The following is a 21,178-nucleotide window of genomic DNA, read 5'->3' on the forward strand; positions in this document are numbered from 1 at the left end:
GCTTTGTCTAAAATTTGGGACCAGGTGCAGTGGCTCACACAAGTAATCCCAGTGCTGTGGGAGGTTGAGGTGGGAGACTCACTTGAGCCCAAGAGTTTGAGACCAACCTGGCCAACATTGCAAGATCCCATTTCTATTATTAAATAAATAAATAAAACAAAATGGTACAGCTGTTTTGAAAAACAGTTTGGCAGTTCCTCAAAGATTAAATGTACCAAATGGAAATAATTAAGATGACAGCCCAGGTGGGACAGCTCATGCCTGTAATCCCAGCACTTTGTTAGGCCAAGGCTGGCAGATCATTTGAGGCCTGGAGTTCAAGACCAACCTGGGCAACACAGCGAAACCCTGTCTCTACAAAAAATCCAAAAATTAGCCAGGCATGCTGGTGAGTGCCTGTAGTCCCAGCTACTTTGAAGACTGCGGTGGGAAGATCAGTTAACTCCAGGAGGTCAAGGATGTAGTGAGCCATGATTCTGCCACTGTACTCCAGCCTGGGCAACAGCGCAAGACCCTGTCTCAAAAAACAAAAAAATTTAAGAAGAAGATAACAAGGAAAAAAAATCTTAAAAAAGAATTAGGCTGGGTGTGGTGGCTCACATCTGTGATCCCAACACTTTGGGAGGCTGAGGTAGGAGGATCACTTGAGTCCAAAGGTTCAGGATCAACCTGGGCAACATAGTGAGACCCCATCTCTCTCTATTTTTTAAATTAAATTAATTTTTTTTTTTAAGGCAGAGTCTTTCTTTGTCACCTAGGCTGGAGTGCAGTGGCATGATCTTGGCTCACTGCCGCCTCCACCTCCTGGGCTCAAGTGATGCGCCCACCTCAGCCCCCAAGTAGCTGGAACTACTGGCTACTTTTTTTGGTATTTTTTTGTCAAGACAGGGTTTCATTATGTTGCCCAGGCTTGTCTTGAACTCCTGATCTGCCCGCTGTGGTCTCCCAAAGTGCTAGGATTACAGGTATGAGCCATGTTGCTTAGCCTCTATTTTTTAAATATTAAATTTTTTTTTTAAAAAAGGCCAGCCTGGGCAATATTGGGAGACCTTATCACTACTAAAAATAAAAAAAAATTAGGCAGGCATGGTGGCGCATAGCTGTAGGTCTAGCTACTTAAGAGGATGAAGCTGTAAGATCACTTGAGCCCAGGAGTTTGAGGTGGCAGTGAGCTATGAGATCATGCCACTGTACTCCAGCCTAGGCAACAGAGCCAGAACTTGCCTCTAAAAAAATAAATTTAAACATAATATTACCATATAACTCAGCATTCCTCTCCTACTTATATACGTGGAGGAATTGAAAACAAGGACTTGGCTGGGCACGGTGGCTCATTCCTGTAATTCCAGCACTTTGGGAGGCCAAGGTGGGAGTATCACTTGAGGTCAGGAGTTTGAGACCAGCATGGCCAATATGGCGAAACCCAGTCTTTACTAAAAATACAAAAATTAGCCAGGTGTAGTGGCATGTGTCTGTAGTCCTGGCTACTCGGAAGGCTGAGGCAGGAGAATCACTTGAACCCAGGAGGCAGAGGTTGCAGTGAGCCGAGATTGCACCACCACACTCCAGCCTGGGCAATAGAGCAAGACTCTGTCTCAAAAAAACAAAAAAACAAAACAAAACAAAAAAACACAAGGACTTAAACGAATAAGATACTTGTACATAAATGTTCATAGCAGCATTATTCATAACACCCAAAAGGTAGAAACAACTCAAATGTCTACTGATGGATGAAGGGATAAATAAAATGTGGTATATCCATAAAATGGGTTATTGTTCAGCCAGAAGAAGGAATAAGTTCTGATACAGATTACAATATGGATGAACCTTGAAAACATGGTGCTAAATGAAAGAAGTTAAATAAAAAAGGACAAATATTGTATGATAACACATATAAAATATCTAGAACAGGCAAATTCTTAGATCACAGAAAGTATATTAGAGGGAAGAGATGTGGTGAGTCATTGGGAAAAAATGAGAGTAAAGTCAATGAACAGAGCTGACACTGCTCAGTGGCAACACATTGTGAAGTCCTGCTATCCTGGGTGTAGGTGATATTAAATAGTTCTTGAATTAGATGCTAATTCTGCCCTCTAGAAGGGGGTTCCCAATTCATTGTTCTTTATGTTCCTTGATTTGACCTTCTGGGAGACAGTTCTTCCTTTATTATATTTTTTAGTTATATGTGAAGAGGGTATTGGAGAATATGCACTCTTTGGAGGCTAACCAGTATCCTGAGCTCATTTCCTGTGTATAGAGGGCTGTAGGCCAAAGAGACATGTTAAGTTTTGTCTAGGCTCTTGGCTCCTTTGGCAATACAATTATCTTATAAACATTACTGGTTTCTTATCTCTTAGATTCCAATCAGCTTCATTTGCCAATGGCCATAACACAGTTCTTTCCTTGACATATCTCCATTTATCTGTCTACTTAATTCTAGGTACCTTGAGCCTATCAAGCTTGGTGGGAGACCAACACCTTTATTCCCTGTTCATTTAGCCATTTCATCCAATTGAAAGGACTTACTAGGTGATATCTCAATCCATTTAGAGATTTTAAAGATAGGTATGACAGGGATAGGCTTGGTTTGATTTTTTAAAATTATTATTAAAGGCTTCCATTAGAAAAGTATTTGCCATTGTCAACTGTGCCAGTTCCTGAATTTCTATGTTGTCTTTATTCCTTTCCATTCCTGCTTACAAATTAGTAAATTATTTTTTGGCTATTTCTCTTTCATGAAGTGTCTTTCAAATACATCCAACATTAACCTACACATGCTATTAACATTTTGTTTTCTAGTCTCTTGCACTGGAGCTATAAACTTACTATGTTCATTATTTAACTTTTAAGTAATTGTAGGTCACAGTTTTATCAAATATTCCATAGTACACCATGGGTTATCATTCTTCCAGCTGCTAAAATCAGTTTGCTTGCCCCCATCACTTGGCCCCTAAGTCAAAGTCACAAAAGTCATGCTTTTGTTAAAATACACCCATCTCTGGCCATAAGTTTCTGTATTAATCAATATATGCTAGGTTTTGTCAAAAAAATTTTTTTTCAACTTCCAAGTGCTTGGAAATTGGCAAAATCTTAGTGTGACCTCAAAGGAAGATGTGGAGGCAAAATTAATATAAGTAGAATTTGGGCCAAGCTTGAGGATTGCAACTTAGGAGTACAGATTCAAGTTGCCCTAAATATACACTCTGATTAGCAGCAGTTACAAGTGGATTTTTAAAGGAAAAGAAGAGGCAGCTCCTGACTTGTTTACCAAGAATTTACATATTTTAATGTAAATTAAAATGTTATTTTAAACCCAAGCTACTGATGGGCTATACATTGTTGTTGTTGTTGTTGTTGTTGTTGTTGTTGTTGTTGTTGTTTTGCATCATAAATTCTGGGAACACAAAGATCATGGGTGAGGCAGCTAGTCAGGAAGAAAATTACTTTAAATAATTGTCCCCAAGCATGGATGTAGAGTGGGAGTTGCAGGATGGAAGGCAAGAATGACCAAAATCCCATGCTCTTGTCTCTTTGGGACTGCATACCTCCCAAAGCTCAGACTGCCCTGAGCTATTTTTCTTTTCTCATTTGTAACATAAAATAATAAAAAATGTATTTCTTGTTCATGCTATACGTTTACTGTAGGTTATACATCTCCTAATTCTAGGATACAGTCTGATGATGAAGCAATGCTGCACATTGCCAGACTCAAAGGCAGAGAGAAAGAGGAGTCTAAACAGTCGCAAATTGGCAATTCAGTGCCCTGGCCCTGAGGTAATTGGCCAGAACTGGACATGTGGTCTCACTCAACCACAAGAGAGCCTGAGAGTGCAACCTACTTTAAGAAGTGCCCTGCAGGTTGAGAGTGGGAAATAGTTGGTGAACAGCACAATCCAATTGCATATGAACTTCGTAATCAAATGTACACTAGGACTGGTAAATGAGGCCCAACTTTACTGGAGTTGTAGCCCCCATTCCCAGATTTAAGAGGTCCCTTTAACAGCACAAGTGCATACTATACATACTGTGCACCTTTCTCTAGTCTTCCACAAAGGAAGCTGTGGTGATTTTATCAGGTAACTGTGCTAGATACAGGAGAATCCCCAAGGCTTTAATTTATATTTAACCCTGACTCTGAGATGAAACCAATTCATTGATTCTCAAATAGACTTTAGAGCATCAAGTGATAACTGAAGCTTTGATCAACAAGCCCCATAGGGTAGCAATCATGCAGGGTAGCTTCTCCAGTTTCCGAATGTACAGAGGGAGGAAAGGGCCTCATCTCCCTGAAATCTCCTCCTGGGCCCCTGACTCGAAGAATAAGTCTACTATAGGAAAAAACCAGAAGCCACTGAAATACTCTTCCTCAGAAATGAAAAGTAAGTTTTATTTCAAACCTATCAGATCCATGTTCTAGAGAATGTTAAACTCTACAGATCCATCTCAGAATCAAAGGACCATATTCATATTGACAGTTAAGCTCTTATAATGGAAGTAACCTCATTCAACTCTTCTTAGAAGTAAATGATGGACAAGTAGATAATCTTTGGCAATCCTTTCCAGTTTTGTTTACACATAGGTTTCTTTTTCCCCCTGAAGAACTAACAAGAAAAAGCCAGATTCAATTACTATGATTTGGCAGCTTGAAACAACAAACTGGTTTTTCCTGCTCCTGAGCTGAAATTTCAATTAAATAGTTTTAAAAGCTATGATGGCATAGGAACAAAATATTTGTCAAGTGACACCTGGAAACCTGCAGCTTAATTCTCTAAGCACTGAAATTTTTTTCAATATTTTAACCATTTTGAGCAGAAATTCCTTAAAAATGTCTATCAACATAGTCCCTGCCCTCTTTCTTTCTTGTTTGTTGTCTTTTCATTATTTTCTCCTGGGTTTTCTAACAACGTCTGACCTTTATCCATTAAAGTCTACCAGCTTGGCACTGTCTGAAGATATTGATCTAGAGAATGTCATTTTGTGTGCATAATGTTTGCAGCGTCAACTGCACTAAACATAATTTGATCTGGCCTTAATTTCTCTGGGGCATCATAGGGAATCCCAGTTATTGTACAATATCATAATGCACTCATGCCTTCAATAGGGTTGCCACATTTAGCAAATAAAATTACAGGACATCCAGTTAAATTAGAATTTCTGATAATCAATGAATTTTTTAAAGTATATCCGAAATATTCCATACTTCGTTGCTTATTTGAAATTTAAATTTAACAAGGCTTCTGTTTTTTTTTTTTTTTTTTTTTTTTTTTTTGAGACAGAGTTTACCCTCTTGTTGCCCAGGCTAGAGTGCAATGGTGCAATCCTTGGCTCACCGCAACCTCTGCCTCCCGGGTTTAAGCAATTCTCCTGCCTCAGCCTCCTGAGTAGCTGGGATTACAGGCATGTGCCACCACGCCCCGCTAATTTTTTGTATTTTTAGGAGAGACGGGGTTTCTCCATGTTGGTTAGGCTGGTCTCGAACTCCCAAACTCAGGTGATCTGCCTGCCTCGGCCTCCCAAAGTGCTGGGATTACAGGCGTGAGCCACTGCGCCAGGCGAAGGCCTCTATTTTATCCGACAATTCTAATTAGGTACCACTGAGACACATAGTCCTATTTGGCCCTGGCTGCCTTTAGACTATTATCTTTTTCTCATTTGAAAGAGCTGCAGACCTTGGGTACTGATTTGAATTGTTGGATGTCCAGACTTGCAGTTCAGGCTCAGCTGACATTCTTGCCCTGGTGAGCTTCTGTACCTTCCTCTTCGCCCTCTGAAGGTTGGCTGAATAATCAACTGACAAAAGTCAGATTAATAAGAGAAGAGGCAGGCTGGGCACGGTGGTTCATGCCTGTAATCCCAATACAATGGGAGGCTGAGGCAAGAAGATCACTGGAGCTCAGGAGTTTGAGACCAGCCTGCATAAAATAGTGGGAACCCATCTCTATTAAAAGTAAAAAAAAATTAGCCAGGTATGGTGGCATGTGCCTATAGTCCCAGCTACTCAGGAGGCTGAGGCAGGAGGGTTGCTTAAGTGGGAGGCTGAGGCAGGAGGACCTTGGAGGTCAAGGCTACAGTGAGCCATGATCATGCGACTGCACTCCTTCTAGAGAGAGACCCTAACTAAAAAAAAAATAAATAAAAAAAAAAGAAAGAAAAGAAAAAAGGCATAGAAATTTATTAGTGTACATGAGGAGAAATCACAGGGTGATTACTCTTATCCCCCATGTAGTACAGAAGGGTATACCATCTTTACAAAGAATGAGAGCTCCAAGCATGGCCAAAAATAGATTATGGTGGTAAATCAGGTTATAGTGGCAAAACAAGTTACGGGAGGGACAGAAGCAGAGGCCTGACTAACAAAGGTGGGTAGCAGCCCTCAGAGAGAATAGATGGTGGAAGTTTCTTTCAGACCTTTAAAAGTGTCAGAATCTCAGTAAATCTTTCCTAGATCTGGACAAGGAAGGGCCTCAGAGAAAGCCTGGCTACATTAATGCAGATTCTCCACAGATGCAAATCTGCCCTACAAGAGACAGTTTTGCAGGGCTACTGGGCTACTTTTTTTTTTTTTTTTTTTTTGAGACAGGGTCTTGCTCTATCAGCCAGGCTGGAGTACAGTAGCATGATCATGGCTTAATGTGGCCTTGAACTCCTGGGATCAAGTGATCGTCCCACCTCAGCCTCCCTCATGAGTAGCTAGGACTAAAGGCATGTACCATTATGACTGGTACATGTTTAAATTTTTATTTTTTGTAGTGATGGGATCTCAATATGTTGCTCAGGCTGGTCGCGATCTCCTGGGCTCAAGCAATCCGCTGGCCTCAGCCTCCCAAAGTCTTGGGATTACAAGCGTGAGCCACCACATCTGGCCTGCAAAGGCTACTTCTGATTGCAGGCCCTCTAAACAGTCATCTCAAAATATGTCAAAGTAGTATATTTTGGGGTAAAATATTTTGATTTCCTTCAAAGCCATTGTAGGGTTAATAATTGGCCTAATTTCAATATTGCTGTTTATTGGGAAATAGGGAGGCCCAAGGGGGAGAAGTGTGGGGAAATGGGCAGTTGGTGGAGTAGTCAGAACACACATAACATTTATTAATTAAGTTTGCCTTTCTATATGAGTGCAGTACATGGCACCTGTATTAGTCCATTTTCATGGTGCTGATAAAGACATACCCGAGACTGGGAAGAAAAAGAAGTTTAATTGGACCTACAGTTCCACATGGCGGGGGAGGCCTCAGAATCATGGCGGGAGGTGAAAGGTACTTGCTTACATGGCTGCAGCAAGAGAAAAATGAGGAAGAAGCAAAATCAGAAACCCCAGATAAACCCATCGGATTTCATGAGACTTATTCACTATCATGAGAATAGCACAGGAAAGACTGGCCCCCATGATTCAATTATCTCCCCCTAGGTCTCTCCCTCAACACGTGGGAATTCTGGGAGATACAGTTCAAGTTGAGATTTGGGTGGGGACACAGCCAAACCATATCAGCACCCCAAAACAATTACCATAGTAACATCAAAGATCATTGATCACAAAGCACTATACCAGATATAATAATGATGAACAAATTTAAATATTGCAAAAATTATTGAATATTATGTGACACAGAGACACAAAGTGAGCACATGCTGTTGGAAAAATGGCACCAATAGATGTGCTTGAGGCAAGGTTGCCACAAACCTTCAATTTGTAAAAAAAAAAAACAAAAAAACAAAAGCAATGTCTGTGAAGAGCAATAAAGCAAATCACAATAAAACGAGGCATGCTGTTATCATCATCTAACAGGCACATTTTGGTTTCAAAAAAAACTGGGCATGTATTAAGATCTAATATGTATTTTACCATCCAGGAATTTTCTCAAGACTGTATTGCAGAAAATTTTAAAACCAGTTATTCTACTCTAATACAGTTACTTATTTTTCTTCAATATCACTTTTTTTCTAAGTATGTCTCTCTTGGACATGGTTTTAATCATTTGCAATATAAAGAGACATAGGCTTAATTTATAGCAGCCCTGAGTTAACAAAAAGAGATAATCCTATTCGCTTATTTGATAATCCAGCTGAACCTGAAGTACTGATTTCAGCCTGTTCATCACCTGAATGGGCTGCCGTGGTTAGAGGGTTTCCAACACAGCTACTGGAACACTTTTAAAAGGTAATGCTGTGATCCATGCAGCCAGGAAGGGGTTGGTCCCTCATAACTCTGCAATCCTCTGGGCCCAGTTTTCTTTTTCCTCTCCCGGTTGATGACACTAGGCCCATTGGTGGTACGGCTTTGGGTTTCCTTCAGTCTCAAGATCTCAGTCAGGGTGGGTGAAGTGGAAGAACAAGCCTTCTTGCAGACCACTGGTTGGTTGGCAGCCTTTGCCATAGCTAATCTGGTTGTTTTCAGGTCAGTGACAGTCACTTTTAGGAGAGGGTTCGTTTGCTTTCAAAATCCATCTCCCCGTTCCTCTCAGGGTTCTTTGCCCCAAAGGACTTTGCCCTTCCTTACGCAGTGGACACCTTGGCACCCTCTGCAAACAGACAGTCCCGCAGAGGCCCTCGACGAGTGTCACTCCATCTGTTTCGCGCTCCTAGGAGAGGTGTAGCAGAAAGCAGTGCCCCAGGCCTCCACGCGACGGTGAAGCAGGAACCAGGGGCTGCCAGCAGAGCAGCCCAGGTGCGTCGCCTTAGGGACAGAGCTGCCAAGTGCCGAGCTGGGGCTGCCAGAGCCGAGCCGGGAACGGCATTTGCCAGAGCCGAGGCGGAAGCCGGAGCATTTGGGGGACGGGACCGCGGGAACCCGGAAACGCCTGGGCTGCACCGAGCTGGCGGTGGCTACGGCGACGGGAGCCGGCGGCGCTGCGGGTCAGCGGTCGCGTAGGACCCAGCGGACTCGGCAGCCTGGGGCGCCCGGCGGAGCTGAACCGCGGCCCCCGGTGGTGGGCTCAGCCGGTCGAGCTGCGCGGGAGGTGAGTCCTCAGCGCACCTGGGGAGGGGCGGGAACCAGGAGGCTAGCGGCTGCGGGGCGGCCCGGGAAGCTCCTGGAGGAGGAGGAAGAGGAGGCATGCGAGGGGGCTGATGTGAAGTCTGTAGGGGTGAAGGGGACGGTATCGAAGACCTGAAATACAGTGCTAGCTAAGTAGGGGTGGGAGCAGATGAGGTGACACGTTGTAACTCCGACGGACGACGTGCGGAATGTACTGGGTGGAGGAGGAAAAAAGGCCCGAGGAGAGGGGTGTGTCAAGCGAATGAAGACGGCAGTGTGTGCCTCAGCGCCTGGTGCGTGCGGAGCTAGTGACGGGTGGGCCCGGCTGGGGCCCGTCATTCCTTCAGTGAACATCCCATGAGCTCTCGCTCGGTGTTGAGCCCTGTGGTAGGCACAGATGCACCCGACCAGCACCTGGAGCTCAAGAAGCCGCAGGAACTTAAAGAAATGGAAAGGCTGCCCTTGGTAAGGCTAGTAAGAACACAAGGACTGTTTGAAGTGGGGTGAGATTCTCATCAGAACAGGTGTGTGGGTGCATTGCTTTATAGTAAAAGACGATCTTTTATTATGTTCTCTTAAATGCAGTATTTGAAAATTAAGTCTTTTCGTTTTTGAAATCAACATTCGACTTTAGTAGTTAAAGATGAAATTTGGTGCAGTTTCTTACTTGGTGTTCTTATTCACTTTCACTGGTAAACTCAGGGTGTTTCAAGGGAATGACTTGTAAACTTATATTTCTGAGGCTAACTTTCCTCCCAACTGTTGATTCTATCTCTTCAGCATCTCAAATTTAGTTCTCCCCTTTTTCATTCCCACTACCTGTCTGCTAAATATGCTCGTCTTTCCTCTTCTTACTTGCACTATAGCAATAACTTCCAAACTGGACTTGTCCTCAGCCTGGCACCCTTCCAGTCACTTGCCTCCATATTACTTTTAAAGCCAAAGATCTTATGACTTTCTTTTTTTGGTTATTCCTTCCTCAGAAATACGCAGTGACTCTCGATCGGCTTCAGAATAAAATGTAAATTATTTAGGGAGGCATTTAATAAATTTTATATTATTTAGGGAGGCTTCAGATTTTTCCTTCAGAATTTGAGTCTGACGGTGGCTCCAGTAAAATCAATATGATTCTTTTTTTTTTTTTTTAGACGGAGTCTCGCTCTGTCGCCCAGGCTGGAGTGCAGTGGCGCAATCTCAGCTCACTGCAAGCTCCGCCTCCCGGGTTCATGCCGTTCTCCTGCCTCAGCCTCCTGAGTAGCTGGGACTACAGGCGCCCGCCGCCACGCCCGGCTAATTTTTTTGTATTTTTAATAGAGACGGGGTTTCACCATGTTAGCCAGGATGGTCTCGATCTCCTGACCTCGTGATCCACCCACCTCGGCCTCTCAAAGTGCTGGGATTACAGGCGTGAGCCACCGCACCCGGCCCCCAATATGATTCTTTCTTTTTTCCTTTTATTAAACAAGTATTACTTTTTTCCACATATCCTATTTTTTAGCCAAACTAGTCGTTAATTAGACGTCCAGTTTCTGAACATGCTATATGCCTGTCAGCCTTGGTGTTTGCTTTTATCATTTCTTCCTACAAAGAAGAAACAAGGAAGGCCTTCCTTGCTGTCTTTGTAGAAATTCTACTTATTCTTCAATTCCTTAAATGCCATCTCTTTCTTATGCAGCTTTCTGAAATCTGCCATAAATCCAGTTCATTCTTTTTTTCTTTTTCTTTTTCTCTTTTTTTGAGAGAGTTTTGCTCTTGTTGCCCAGGCTGGAGTTCAATGTTGCGATCTCGGCTCACTGCAACCTCCGTCTCCCGGGTTCAAGCGATTCTCCTGCCTCAGCCTCCTGAAGTAGCTGGGATTACAGGTGCCCGCCACCACACCCAGCCAATTTTTTTGTAGTTTTAGTTGAGACGGGGTTTCACCATGTTGGCCAGGCTGGTCTTGAACTCCTGACCTCAGGTGATCCACCTGCCTCGACATCCCAAAGTGTTGGGATTACAGGCATGAGCCACTACGCCCAGCCCATTTTTTTTTCTTCATGTGTGCTGGGCTTTATAAATCTTACAACACTTGTTAAATTTGCATTGTAATTTGAGAGTTCTATTATCCCTACTGTAATGTAAGCTTCCTAAGGAAAGCATTTGTACTTACTACTTTTTTTTTTTTTTTTTTTGAGATGGAGTCTTGCTCTGTCACGCAGGCTGGAGTGCAGTGGCGTGACCCTCTCGCCTCACTGCCACCTCTGCCTTCCAGGTTCAAGAGATTCTTCTGCCTCAGCCTCTCGAGTAGCTGGGACTACAGGCGTGCATCACCACACCTAGCTAATTTTTGTATTTTTAGTAGAGACGGGGGTTTCACCATGTTGGCCAGGCTGGTTTTGAACTCCTGGCCTCAAGTGATCCACCCACCTCACCTCCTAAAGTGCTGGAATTACAGGCATGAGCCACCGCGCCCAGCCTGTACTTACTACATTTTTAAAGCACTTTAGTACTTGAACACATCATGATGTATTAGACTCTTAAATATTTGTTACATTAATCATGTAATGAAACAGACTGTTATTGTGCTTCTGGAGACAAGATGAGCTCTTGAGTTGTTATAGAAACTTACTGTGGATTTAATATTTGAAAATGCTTTTCTGTTCCATGTTTTAGTACCTCATTTGATCCTAGTAATAAATCGTTGGTGTAGGATAGTTATTATCACCGCTATTTTATAGATAAGAATATTAAAGTTCAGACAGTCCAAATAATTTGCCCTGGGACCTACATATACGCCTTAGGCTGCCTCAATTATATTTGAAATTGATATAATTTGTGTCCTGAAACATGTGCCTTTTACTTAGTAGAAATTCAACATTTTGCTCGAGTGATTGGATAAGTTACAGAATCAATGGAAAGAATCTCGTTTGAAAGCCTAAACTTGTTCAGTAGCCATGAAATATAACTTTTGAGCTTTTCCTTTCCTGAGAAGTATAGAGAGTGAAGTTTCTGTTTAATGTTAATCAACTGTGGATTTGTCTGTGTGTGTGCATGTAAGTGCCAGAAATTTAGAGTAAGTTATAGACCTGTCTGGGTAACTGAAATAGCTTGAACATCATCACACTGACAGTTAATAATGTCATTCATGAGTATTAATTTATTATTAAATAAGATTCAGGTGAATATGAATTGGTAGCTTAACATTAGATTTTAATCCTCACAAAAGCAATGTATTCTTAAGTATGTTCAACTTAATTATCTCTATTAATGAAGGAGTGTAGTGGTTATATATTTTTAATCATTGTTTCTTTAATGTATCTTTTATATAAATTCGAGTGTTTTATATATAAGTGTGAAAATGACTTTAGAAGCTACAATGTTGCTTGGCTTCTCTATCCAGATTGCCTGACCAGAACTCTTTCTAGTTTATCATCCATATTGGAGACACCATCTAAAATGAAACCAAAGAGCCAGTTTAAAATAAGTTGCTGTACTTAGAGATAAGAAGTTTGATTGAAAAGGTATGCTAGGTCAGGAAGCATAGTGGAAATTAGAATTACGATGAAGCTGAAACTGGGCCGGGTGTGGTGGCTCATGCCTGTAATCCCAGCATTTTGGGAGGCCCAGGCAGGCGGATCACGAGGTCAGGAGTTTAAGACCAGCCTGACCAGCATGGTGAAACCCTGTCTCTACTAAAAATACAAAAATTATCCTGGCGTGGTGGTGGACACCTGTAGTCCCAGCTACTCGGGAGGCTGAAGCAGGAGAATTGCTTGAACGCGGGAGGCGGAGGTTGCAGTGAGCCAAAATCGCTCCATTGCACTCCAGCCTGGGCGACAGAGTGAGACTCCATCTCAAAAAAAAAAAAAAAAAAATGAAGCTGAAACTTTGAAGTCATGTCAGATAAAATGCTAAGAAACAAGCTCATTCCACAAAGTATCTACATAGGACTTTATATCTACCTAGAGCTGAGTTTTTTCTGTAAAAGTTATGTAAGTTTTTTTTCTAAATTCATATATGCTATAAAACCAATTTCAAACAGCATTTCTAATAGTATTTTCTATCATGAGTAGGTTTTATAAAGGTATTCAATGAATAAGGCATTGTAGTATAATAATCACTTTATTTGATTTATATTCCTTAATCATAACCACCCTACAAAATACATACTATTACTTATCACCATTTTATAGATAAGGGAAAGGAGGGACAGAGAGATTAAATAATTTGCTGTACTAAGTTGTAGAGACAGAATGTGAACTCAGTCTGAGACCAAAGGCATACTTTTATATACTATGGTGACTGACCCTCTGATACTTGGATGTGCTTTTTTGTTTTTTAAATAATTTTTTGTAGAGATGAAGTCTTATTATGTTGGCTTGGCTGGTCTTGAACTCCTGGCCTCAAGCGATCCTCCCACCATGGCCTCTGAAAGTGTTGAGATTACTGGTGTGATCAGTCCATAGACATGCTTAAACACAGGCTTTACTGCAAAGACTGTGGGTTTTGACTGAGATAAGTCTTGGTTCATGTCTGAGCTCTGACAAGTTATGCAAGACAAGCCATACACTTAATATCTCAGAACCTCTGTTTCTTAATCTGTAAAATGAATACCTCCTTTTACAGATTAAATGAGATCTAAATGAGATAATACCTGTAAATCACCTAGCACAATGCCTGATATACTGTAGGTATTCAAGATTCTCTTACTATTTTTACTTCTCTCATGAAGTACAGTTATTACAGTTATTAGAAAACATTTAATGCAAACCAGTTTTGACCTGCATTTGTCTTTTTTTTTTTTTGAGACAGGGTCTCACTGTCACCTTGGCTGGAGTACAGAGGCGCAATCTCAGCTCACTGCAACTTCCACCTCCCTGGCTCAAGTGATCTCCCACCTTAGCCTCCCAAGTAGGTGGAACTACTGGCATGTGCCACCATGCCTGGCTAATTTTTTATTTTTTGTAGAGACAGCTTTCACCATGTTGCCCAGGATGGTCTCAGACTTCTGGGCTCAAGTGATCTGCCCACCTAAGCCTCCCAAAGTGCTGGGATTGCAGGCCTGAGCCACCGTGTCCAGCCCCTGCATTTGTCTTTTATGTTATTACACAGAGTTATGAAGAGATCATTCTCCCACAATAAATATTGTGGCGTTTATTTATTATTTTATAAATTCAACATAGAGTAAATGCTTAATATATGAAAGGTGCTGGTATGGAGAAGCAGGAAATACAGTGAATAGAAGAAGGAAATGTATATCATTTGTCAACAAATTAGTCTGATAAAATTTATGAGTGCTATTATAAAAGGTATATACAAAATGGCATGAGAGTGTAGTAGAGTGAAGGATTCAATCTGCTTGGAAGACATATGAAACTTCACTAAAACTTGTATGTTGAGTCCTGTAAGATATATAGAGGTTCTACAAATAGAGAAGGGAGAAGAGGTGTTTAAAAAGACGAATATTTGTTCGTGAATGCATGAAAGAACAAGACTGAGACAGGTAATAGTTTATGGCAGGAAATGTAGGTTGGGACCAGATTATGAGGGCTGTTTTATGTGAAGGAGTTTGGACTCTATCCTCTATTTTGTAAGAAGTCAATTAAACTTTACAAACAGGGCAAGGCACAGTGACTCATGCCTGTAATCCCAGCATTTTGGGAGGCCTAGGTGAGAGGATCACTTGAGGGCAGGAGTTTGAGACCAGCATGGGCAATGAAGCAAGACCCCGGCTCCACAAAAAATAAAAAAATTATCTGGTTGTGGTAGCATGCGGTTGTAGGTCCAGCTACTTGGGAGGCTGAGGCAGAAGGATTGCCTGAGCCCAGTAGGTTGAGGCTGCAGCGAGCCGTGATCACAGCACTGCAGTCCAGCCTGGGTGACAGAGTCAGACTTGGTCTCAAAAAAACTCCAAAAAAACCCCAAAAATAAAAGAGATGTGATCAGACCTATGTCTTATTAAGATATCTGCTATATGGAGGCTAGATTAGAGTTGAGAGCGTCTGAAGCTTGCCCTCTTCAGTTAGGCAGAGTGGCATAAGACTTGAACAGTAAATGTAGAACAAACATAATTAATATATATTTATATTCTCTGTAGCTTAAGCTTATAGTATGTGTAAACTTCTAAGACTGTAGGTTTACCTGGAAGTGGTTGCAATTTCATGTTTAGAAAAGGTGTTTGTTAAAAAAACAAAACTATACAGCATTTGGATTCGAATATTGGAATCTTGTTCTCAAGGGAAGGTGGTAATCTAACATTAATTATTTAAACACAATCAGCAGCTAGGATTTTTTAAAGTTTGAAAACCTTTGACAACAAAGGAAGATAAATTGTTCTGTAAAGGCACATGCACTGTTAAGTTTCACAGCACTATTCACAATAGCAAAGACATAGAATCAATCTAGATGCCCATCAGTGGTGAACTGGACATAAAACTATGATACATATACACCTGGAATACTATGCAGCTATGAAACATGAGACTATGGCCTTTGCAGCAACATGGATGGAGCTGAAGGCCATTATTCTAAACAAATTAATGCAGGAACAGAAAACTAAATACTGCATGCTCTCAGTTATAAGTAGGAGCTAAACATTGAGTACATATGAACACAAAGAAGGGGACACAATAGACATTGAGGTCTATTTAAGGGTGCAGGGTTGGAGGAGGGTAAGGATTGAAAAATTGCCTATTGGGTATTATGCTGATTACCTGGGTGACAAAATTATCTATACACCAAAGCCCCAGGACAGACAATTTACCCATGTAACAAACGTGCATACCTACCCCTTACCTTCAATCTAAAATAAAAGTTGGGGAAAAAAAAAGAATGTTTGACAGTTTGTCAGACCATAAATCCATAAAAACTGCTCATTCTATATTGTTTCAGTTAAATTATTTTCACATTAAATTTTTAAAAATCATTTATGAATGCTACAAAGAAAACTATTTTAAGGCCCCTCACCATTCAGGTTTATCCTCAGGCTGAATAGCTAAACATTGTTCTTGATTACCCTTCTATGCTTTATTTATTTAAGACAGGGTCTTACTCTGTCACACAAGAAGGAGTGCAGTAGGCCTGGTGCAGTGGCTCACACCTGTAATCCCAGCACTCTGGGAGGTAGAGGCGGGCGGATCACCAGAGGTCAGGAGTTTGAGAACAGCCTGACGAACATCGCGAAACTCCGTCTCTATTAAAAATACCAAAAAAAAAAAAAAAAAAAATTAGCTGGGCGTGGTGGCAGGTGCCTGTAATCTCAGCATCTCAGCTACTCGGGAGGCTGAAGCAGGAAAATCACTTGAACTCGGGAGGTAGAGGTTGCAGTGAGCCAAGATCACGCCATTGCACTCCAGCTTGGGCGACAAGAGTGAAATTCCATCTCAGAAGGAAGGAGGAAGGGAGGAAGGGAGGGAGGAAGGGAGGGAGGGAGGGCGGGCAGTGATGTGATTACAGCTCATTGCTCCTGGGCTCAAGCAATCCTCCAGCCTCAGCTTCTCGAGTAGCTGGGAGTATAGATAGGCACACGCCACAATATCTGGCTAATTTTTTAAAGTTTGTTGTAAAGACAGAGTCCGACTATGTTGCCCAGGCTGGTCTGGAACTCCTGGGCTCAAGGGATCCTCCCATCTTGGTCTCCCAAAGTGCTGGGATTATAGGTGTGAGACACCGTGCCTGGCCCTCGTATGCTTTAATACCTAAACATTTGAAAAATCACTGGAAAATGCTAGAACCTTGTAATGTTAGTACGTGGGGAGCAATTCTATCTTAATGAGTAATTATATTTTACTTTCTGCATATAGATACGTTTCAGTTGGCATGTTTTGATACATGCAGTATATCTGAGATTGAGCAATAAATTATGTTTAAAGGAGTCAACTTGAATAGTCTAGTAGGGACAGAGAGACTAAAATTGGGAATTTTTTTCTCTAGCTTATAAGCTTTATATCTGATTATATGTTATTAATATTTCAAGTTATAAAAACAAACATACTAATGAAAATTGTGAAAATCTGTACTGTTTTGCCTTTTATGTCCTTTTTTCCTCCTACCCATACCTAGCTATGTTTTTTAAAACAGCAAAGAGGCCGGGCAGGGTGGCTCATACCTGCAATCCCAGCACTGTGGGAAGCTGAGGCAGGAGGATGGCCTGAGCCTGAGACCAGCCTGGGCAACACAGGGAGACCCCATCTTTACAGATAAAAAAAAATTTAAAAAATTTAGCTAGGTGTGGTGGCACATGCCTGTGGTTGCAGCTACTCAGGAGGCTGAGGTGGGAGTATAGCTTGAGCCCAGGAGGTAGAGGCAGCAGTGAGCCGTGGCATGCCACTGCACTCCAGCCTGGGGAACAGAGTGAGACCCTGTTTCAAAAAATATAAAATAAAATAAGAAAATAAGAAATAAAATAATAAAACAAATTGATGTTTTCTAAACTAAGTGGTAGTAGAAGAATTGCTTTGTAACACTGGCCAAGTCCTTGTTTTTTCTATGGAAATGTTACGGTTAAACATTTAGTTTTGTGAGCAAAAAGTGGATGGGTCAGTTTTCTATGAGAAGATTACTAGAGTAGTTTCTCATTCATTTAGTATCTTTGTTGTTACTGAGTCCAGAATATATTTTAAAAAGTATTTATTGAGTGCATACTGTGTGCAAGGAATTGTTCTATGTACTCTTCGGTAAACCAGTTTTCCTAATAATTAATTTTTAAAAATATAGCAACTTAATTTCATCCAGTCTTTCTCTGAAACATATTTAATGCTTTCTTCTGGAATAGACATAGAGTGTTCCCTTTGGCAGCACATATACTAAAGTTCGAACGTTATGGAGAAGATTAGCATGGCCCTTGCTCAAGGATGCTACACAAATTCATGAAGCATTCCCTTAGGGAAGAAAAAATAGATGTAGAATTGGAAACATTACATTTAAAAAATACAGACTTAGATCCTCATATTAATTTCTTGTGGCTGCTGTAACAAATTATCACAAATTTTGTGGCTTAAAACAATAGCAATTTATTCTCTCACAGTTCTGGAGACCAGAAATCCAAAATTAATATAACTGAGTTGAAATCTAATTGTCAGCAAGGCCTCACTCCATCTGGTTGCTCTGGGAGAGCATCCATTCCTTTCCTCTTCCAGCTTCTGTTGGCTGCCAATATTCCTTTTCTTGTGCCTGCATCACTCTAATATCACAGGACAGCATTATCAAATCTCTCTCTGCTTCATCTTTATATTGCATTCTTCTCTTGTGTATCTGTATTCTCCTTTTCTTTCTTTTTTTTTTTTTTTTTATTTGAGACAGAGTCTCACTCTGTTGCTCAGGCTGGAGTGCAGTGGCGTGATCTCGGCTCACTGCAAGCTCCACCTCCCGGGTTCATGCCATTCTCCTGCCTCAGCCTCCGGAGTAGCTGGGACTACAGGCGCCCGCCACCACGCCCGGCTAATTTTTTATATTTTTAGTAGAGACGGTGTTTCACCGTGTTAGCCAGGATGGTCTCGATCTCCTCTATCTCGTGATCTGCCCACCTTGGCTTCCCAAAGTGCTGGGATTACAGACGTGAGCCACCGCGCCTGGCCTCCTTTTCTTTTTAAAAATATTTTTCCAGGCCGGGTGCGGTGGCTCACGCCTGTAATCCCAGCACTTTGAGAGGCCGAGGTGGGTGGATCACCCGAGGTCAGGAGTTCGAGACCACCCTGGCCAACATGGTGAAACCCCGTCTCTACTAGAAATACAAAAATTAGCCGGACATGGTGGTGCAAGCCTATAATCCCAGCTACTCGGGACACTGAGGCAGGAGAATCGCTTGAACCCAGGAGGCAGAAGTTGCAGTGAGCCGAGATCACACCATTGTACTCCAGCCTGGGCAACAGAGCAAGACTCTGTCTCTCTCTCTCTATATATATGTATATATATTCCAGCTTTATTGAAGTGTTTATATATATATGTATTAATTAAATATTTGGTGGCTGATTTCCATCTGGAGAATTGTGTGATAACTGTATTTTTTTTTTACTTCTATCCCCAATCTTCTTAGTTTTGAATCTTTACTAATGATTAGTGCCTGTAGACCCTACCTGGCTTTTACACAAGTCTCTGTTCTTTGTAGAATATCTTTAACTGTTGTAAGTGGTGGGAAGTGACCATAACAGAATGAGGTAGAGCAGAATTGCATGAGAGTGTGGGGAAATGGGAGGGTGGGAAGGAGTAAGTTCATTTTTACATGGCACCACACATTGAAAGGAGATCTTAGAGATATTAAGTCGTTTTGTTTCCAAATCAATGCATTTCTGTAAACAGTACAATAGTGAGTGCTGAACGATTTTTATCTAAACATTAGAATGCAAATAGGTTTTATATTTGTATAGGTAAAGAAATAGCTGAATACTCTTGGTTTTATTTAAATCTAGGAATGGAAATTTTGCAGCCTATGAAAGAACAAGTTAAAAATGGATACTACTGTAACTTACGTACAGGTGATATTTTCTTAGTAAATAGTTACCTGACACCTTGAGGAAGAAAGAAAAGGAGAAACAATGAAAAGTTGTTTAACTTAGAACATGATAGGAGCCTGTAAGTTATAGAGTTGGTTAAATGTTATTGAGCAAAATTTTGCTTTTCTTAAGCACTTAAGAGGGAACTAATTTAGGGGAGGCTATTGTTTCTATCATAAAAATTGAGTTTATTATATCTGTAGCGTAAATTACTTTCTACTTATTTCTTTCACTTACATGAAAAAGGTTTTTGGATTTTCCACGAGATTATTATGGATTTCAAGTACAAGATATTGTTGCTCTTCTTCTTGAGTACTGTATCTACTTCTGAGGTAGTTAGAAAAGAATATATACAAATACCAGTGTCAAAAGTTGTCAGTTATGATGAATTTTATTTGTCATTATTTAGCCTGTAATAATAGGTTATAGTTTTAAAGTTTTGGCATCATGGAAGATAATGGACAAAAAATTTCAACTGAGCTCAGCATTTCTGTATGTATATACTTTTTTCTGTTGATTTATTTGGAAAAACCTTAAAATGTTTGTTTTTTACCCTAGTAGTTGTCTCTGACCAGTGTATAATGTGACATATTTGCATAGCACTTTGTAACTTGTGTGTTTTCATATATACTCTCTTATGTCATTAACCTCTAGTAGACTGATATTGTTACTAAGGGAGTATAGTGTTTAGAAAATGTAAATATAGCTTACTCTAAAAATCATAACTTAGGAATTTAGCCCTTGTTTTTATAATAGAAGGAAAATTGACTTGCAGACTATCTAAGATACTAGGTAGTCTCAAAATGTATATGAATTTTATTTTATTTTATTATTTATTTATTTATTTTTGAGACAGAGTCTTGCTCTGTTGCCCAGGCTGGAGTGTAGCAGCGGGATTTCGGCTCACTGCAACCTCCTCCTCCCAGGTTCAAGAAATTCTCGTGGCCTCAGCCTCCCGAGTAGCTGGGATTACAGGTGTGTGCCACCATGCCTGGCTAATTTTTGTATTTTTAGTAGAGACAGGGTTTTGCCATGCTGACCAGGCTTGGCTCGAACTCCTGGCCTCAAGTGATCCGCTCACCTCAGCCTCCCAAAGTGCTGGGATTACAGACATGAGCCACTGCACCCAGCCTGTGTATGAATTTTAGTACAGTTTTAAAACATTGACTAAACATTTAGTTTTTTAGGACTTTTAGTGGCTGGAGACATATCAGCAAAATACAGATATTGTCTCAGAATGATAAGCTTTATACACAGACTGAGAAAGTATACAGACTATACGTTGGTGAGCCACTGGAAATAAGTCTGTAGTAATACTGATTTTAGGGTTTACCTACACCTACAAGGATGTATTCTTTTTTTTTTTTTTTTTTTGAGACGGAGTCTTGCTGTGTTGCCCAGGCTGGAGTGCAGTGGCACAATCTCAGCTCACTGCAACCTCCGCCTCTTGGGTTCAAGTGATTCTCGTGCCTCAGCCTCCTGAGTAGCTGGGATTACAGGTGCGCACCACCATGTCCAGCTAATTTTTTGTATTTTTAGTAGAGACGGGTTTTGCCATGTTGCCCAGGCTTTGAACCCCTGAGCTCAGGCAATCCGCCCACCTCGGCCTCCCAAAGTGCTGGGATTACAGGTGTGAGCCACTGCGTCCGGCCTGTATTCTATTTTTGAAAAGATGAATATAAATTATTAGTATATGGTGTTTTGAGTATTTTAGAACTTGGTGTAGATCTGTAAT

The 21,178-nt window shown here is 41.1% G+C and overlaps 1 protein-coding gene, 1 long non-coding RNA gene and 1 pseudogene across 22 annotated transcripts in view, besides 4 other annotated features; 2 read left to right on the forward strand and 1 right to left on the reverse strand.

The window, feature by feature from the left end:
* Positions 1 to 21,178, reverse strand: part of LOC124904230 (uncharacterized) — a 124,812-nt gene that overhangs the window by 48,009 nt on the left and 55,625 nt on the right. The gene's annotated exons all lie outside the window — the stretch shown is intronic.
* Positions 8,271 to 8,320: an enhancer, noted in NCBI's record as "active region_1363". NCBI's record gives its function as "activates an Ori minimal core promoter by ATAC-STARR-seq in GM12878 lymphoblastoid cells {active_cell/tissue: GM12878}" and the evidence as "EXISTENCE:reporter gene assay evidence [ECO:0000049][PMID:35858748]".
* Positions 8,381 to 8,430: an enhancer, noted in NCBI's record as "active region_1364". NCBI's record gives its function as "activates an Ori minimal core promoter by ATAC-STARR-seq in GM12878 lymphoblastoid cells {active_cell/tissue: GM12878}" and the evidence as "EXISTENCE:reporter gene assay evidence [ECO:0000049][PMID:35858748]".
* The window catches only part of SLC35A3 (solute carrier family 35 member A3), a 65,639-nt gene continuing 53,251 nt past the window's right edge, over positions 8,791 to 21,178 (forward strand). For 7 of the 13 annotated variants that reach the window (NM_012243.3, NM_001438728.1, NM_001271684.2 and 4 more), the window contains exon 1: positions 8,791 to 8,957. Coding sequence is in view for 5 of the 13 variants with exons in the window: in NM_001271685.2 (NP_001258614.1) it covers positions 9,332 to 9,439 (108 nt within the window). In the remaining 8 variants the exon portion in view is untranslated. Of the gene's footprint in view, positions 8,958 to 9,311; positions 9,440 to 13,765; positions 13,865 to 21,178 lie in introns of those variants that run through there. The other 6 variants (NM_001271685.2, XM_011541137.4, XM_011541138.4 and 3 more) reach the window with 2 other exon arrangements.
* Positions 8,831 to 9,030: a silencer, noted in NCBI's record as "silent region_1115". NCBI's record gives its function as "represses an Ori minimal core promoter by ATAC-STARR-seq in GM12878 lymphoblastoid cells {active_cell/tissue: GM12878}" and the evidence as "EXISTENCE:reporter gene assay evidence [ECO:0000049][PMID:35858748]".
* Positions 9,151 to 9,240: an enhancer, noted in NCBI's record as "active region_1365". NCBI's record gives its function as "activates an Ori minimal core promoter by ATAC-STARR-seq in GM12878 lymphoblastoid cells {active_cell/tissue: GM12878}" and the evidence as "EXISTENCE:reporter gene assay evidence [ECO:0000049][PMID:35858748]".
* On the forward strand, positions 17,734 to 17,840 carry RNU6-750P (RNA, U6 small nuclear 750, pseudogene; annotated as a pseudogene).

Source organism: Homo sapiens, chromosome 1, assembly GCF_000001405.40.
Source record: "Homo sapiens chromosome 1, GRCh38.p14 Primary Assembly".
Lineage (NCBI taxonomy): Eukaryota > Metazoa > Chordata > Mammalia > Primates > Hominidae > Homo > Homo sapiens.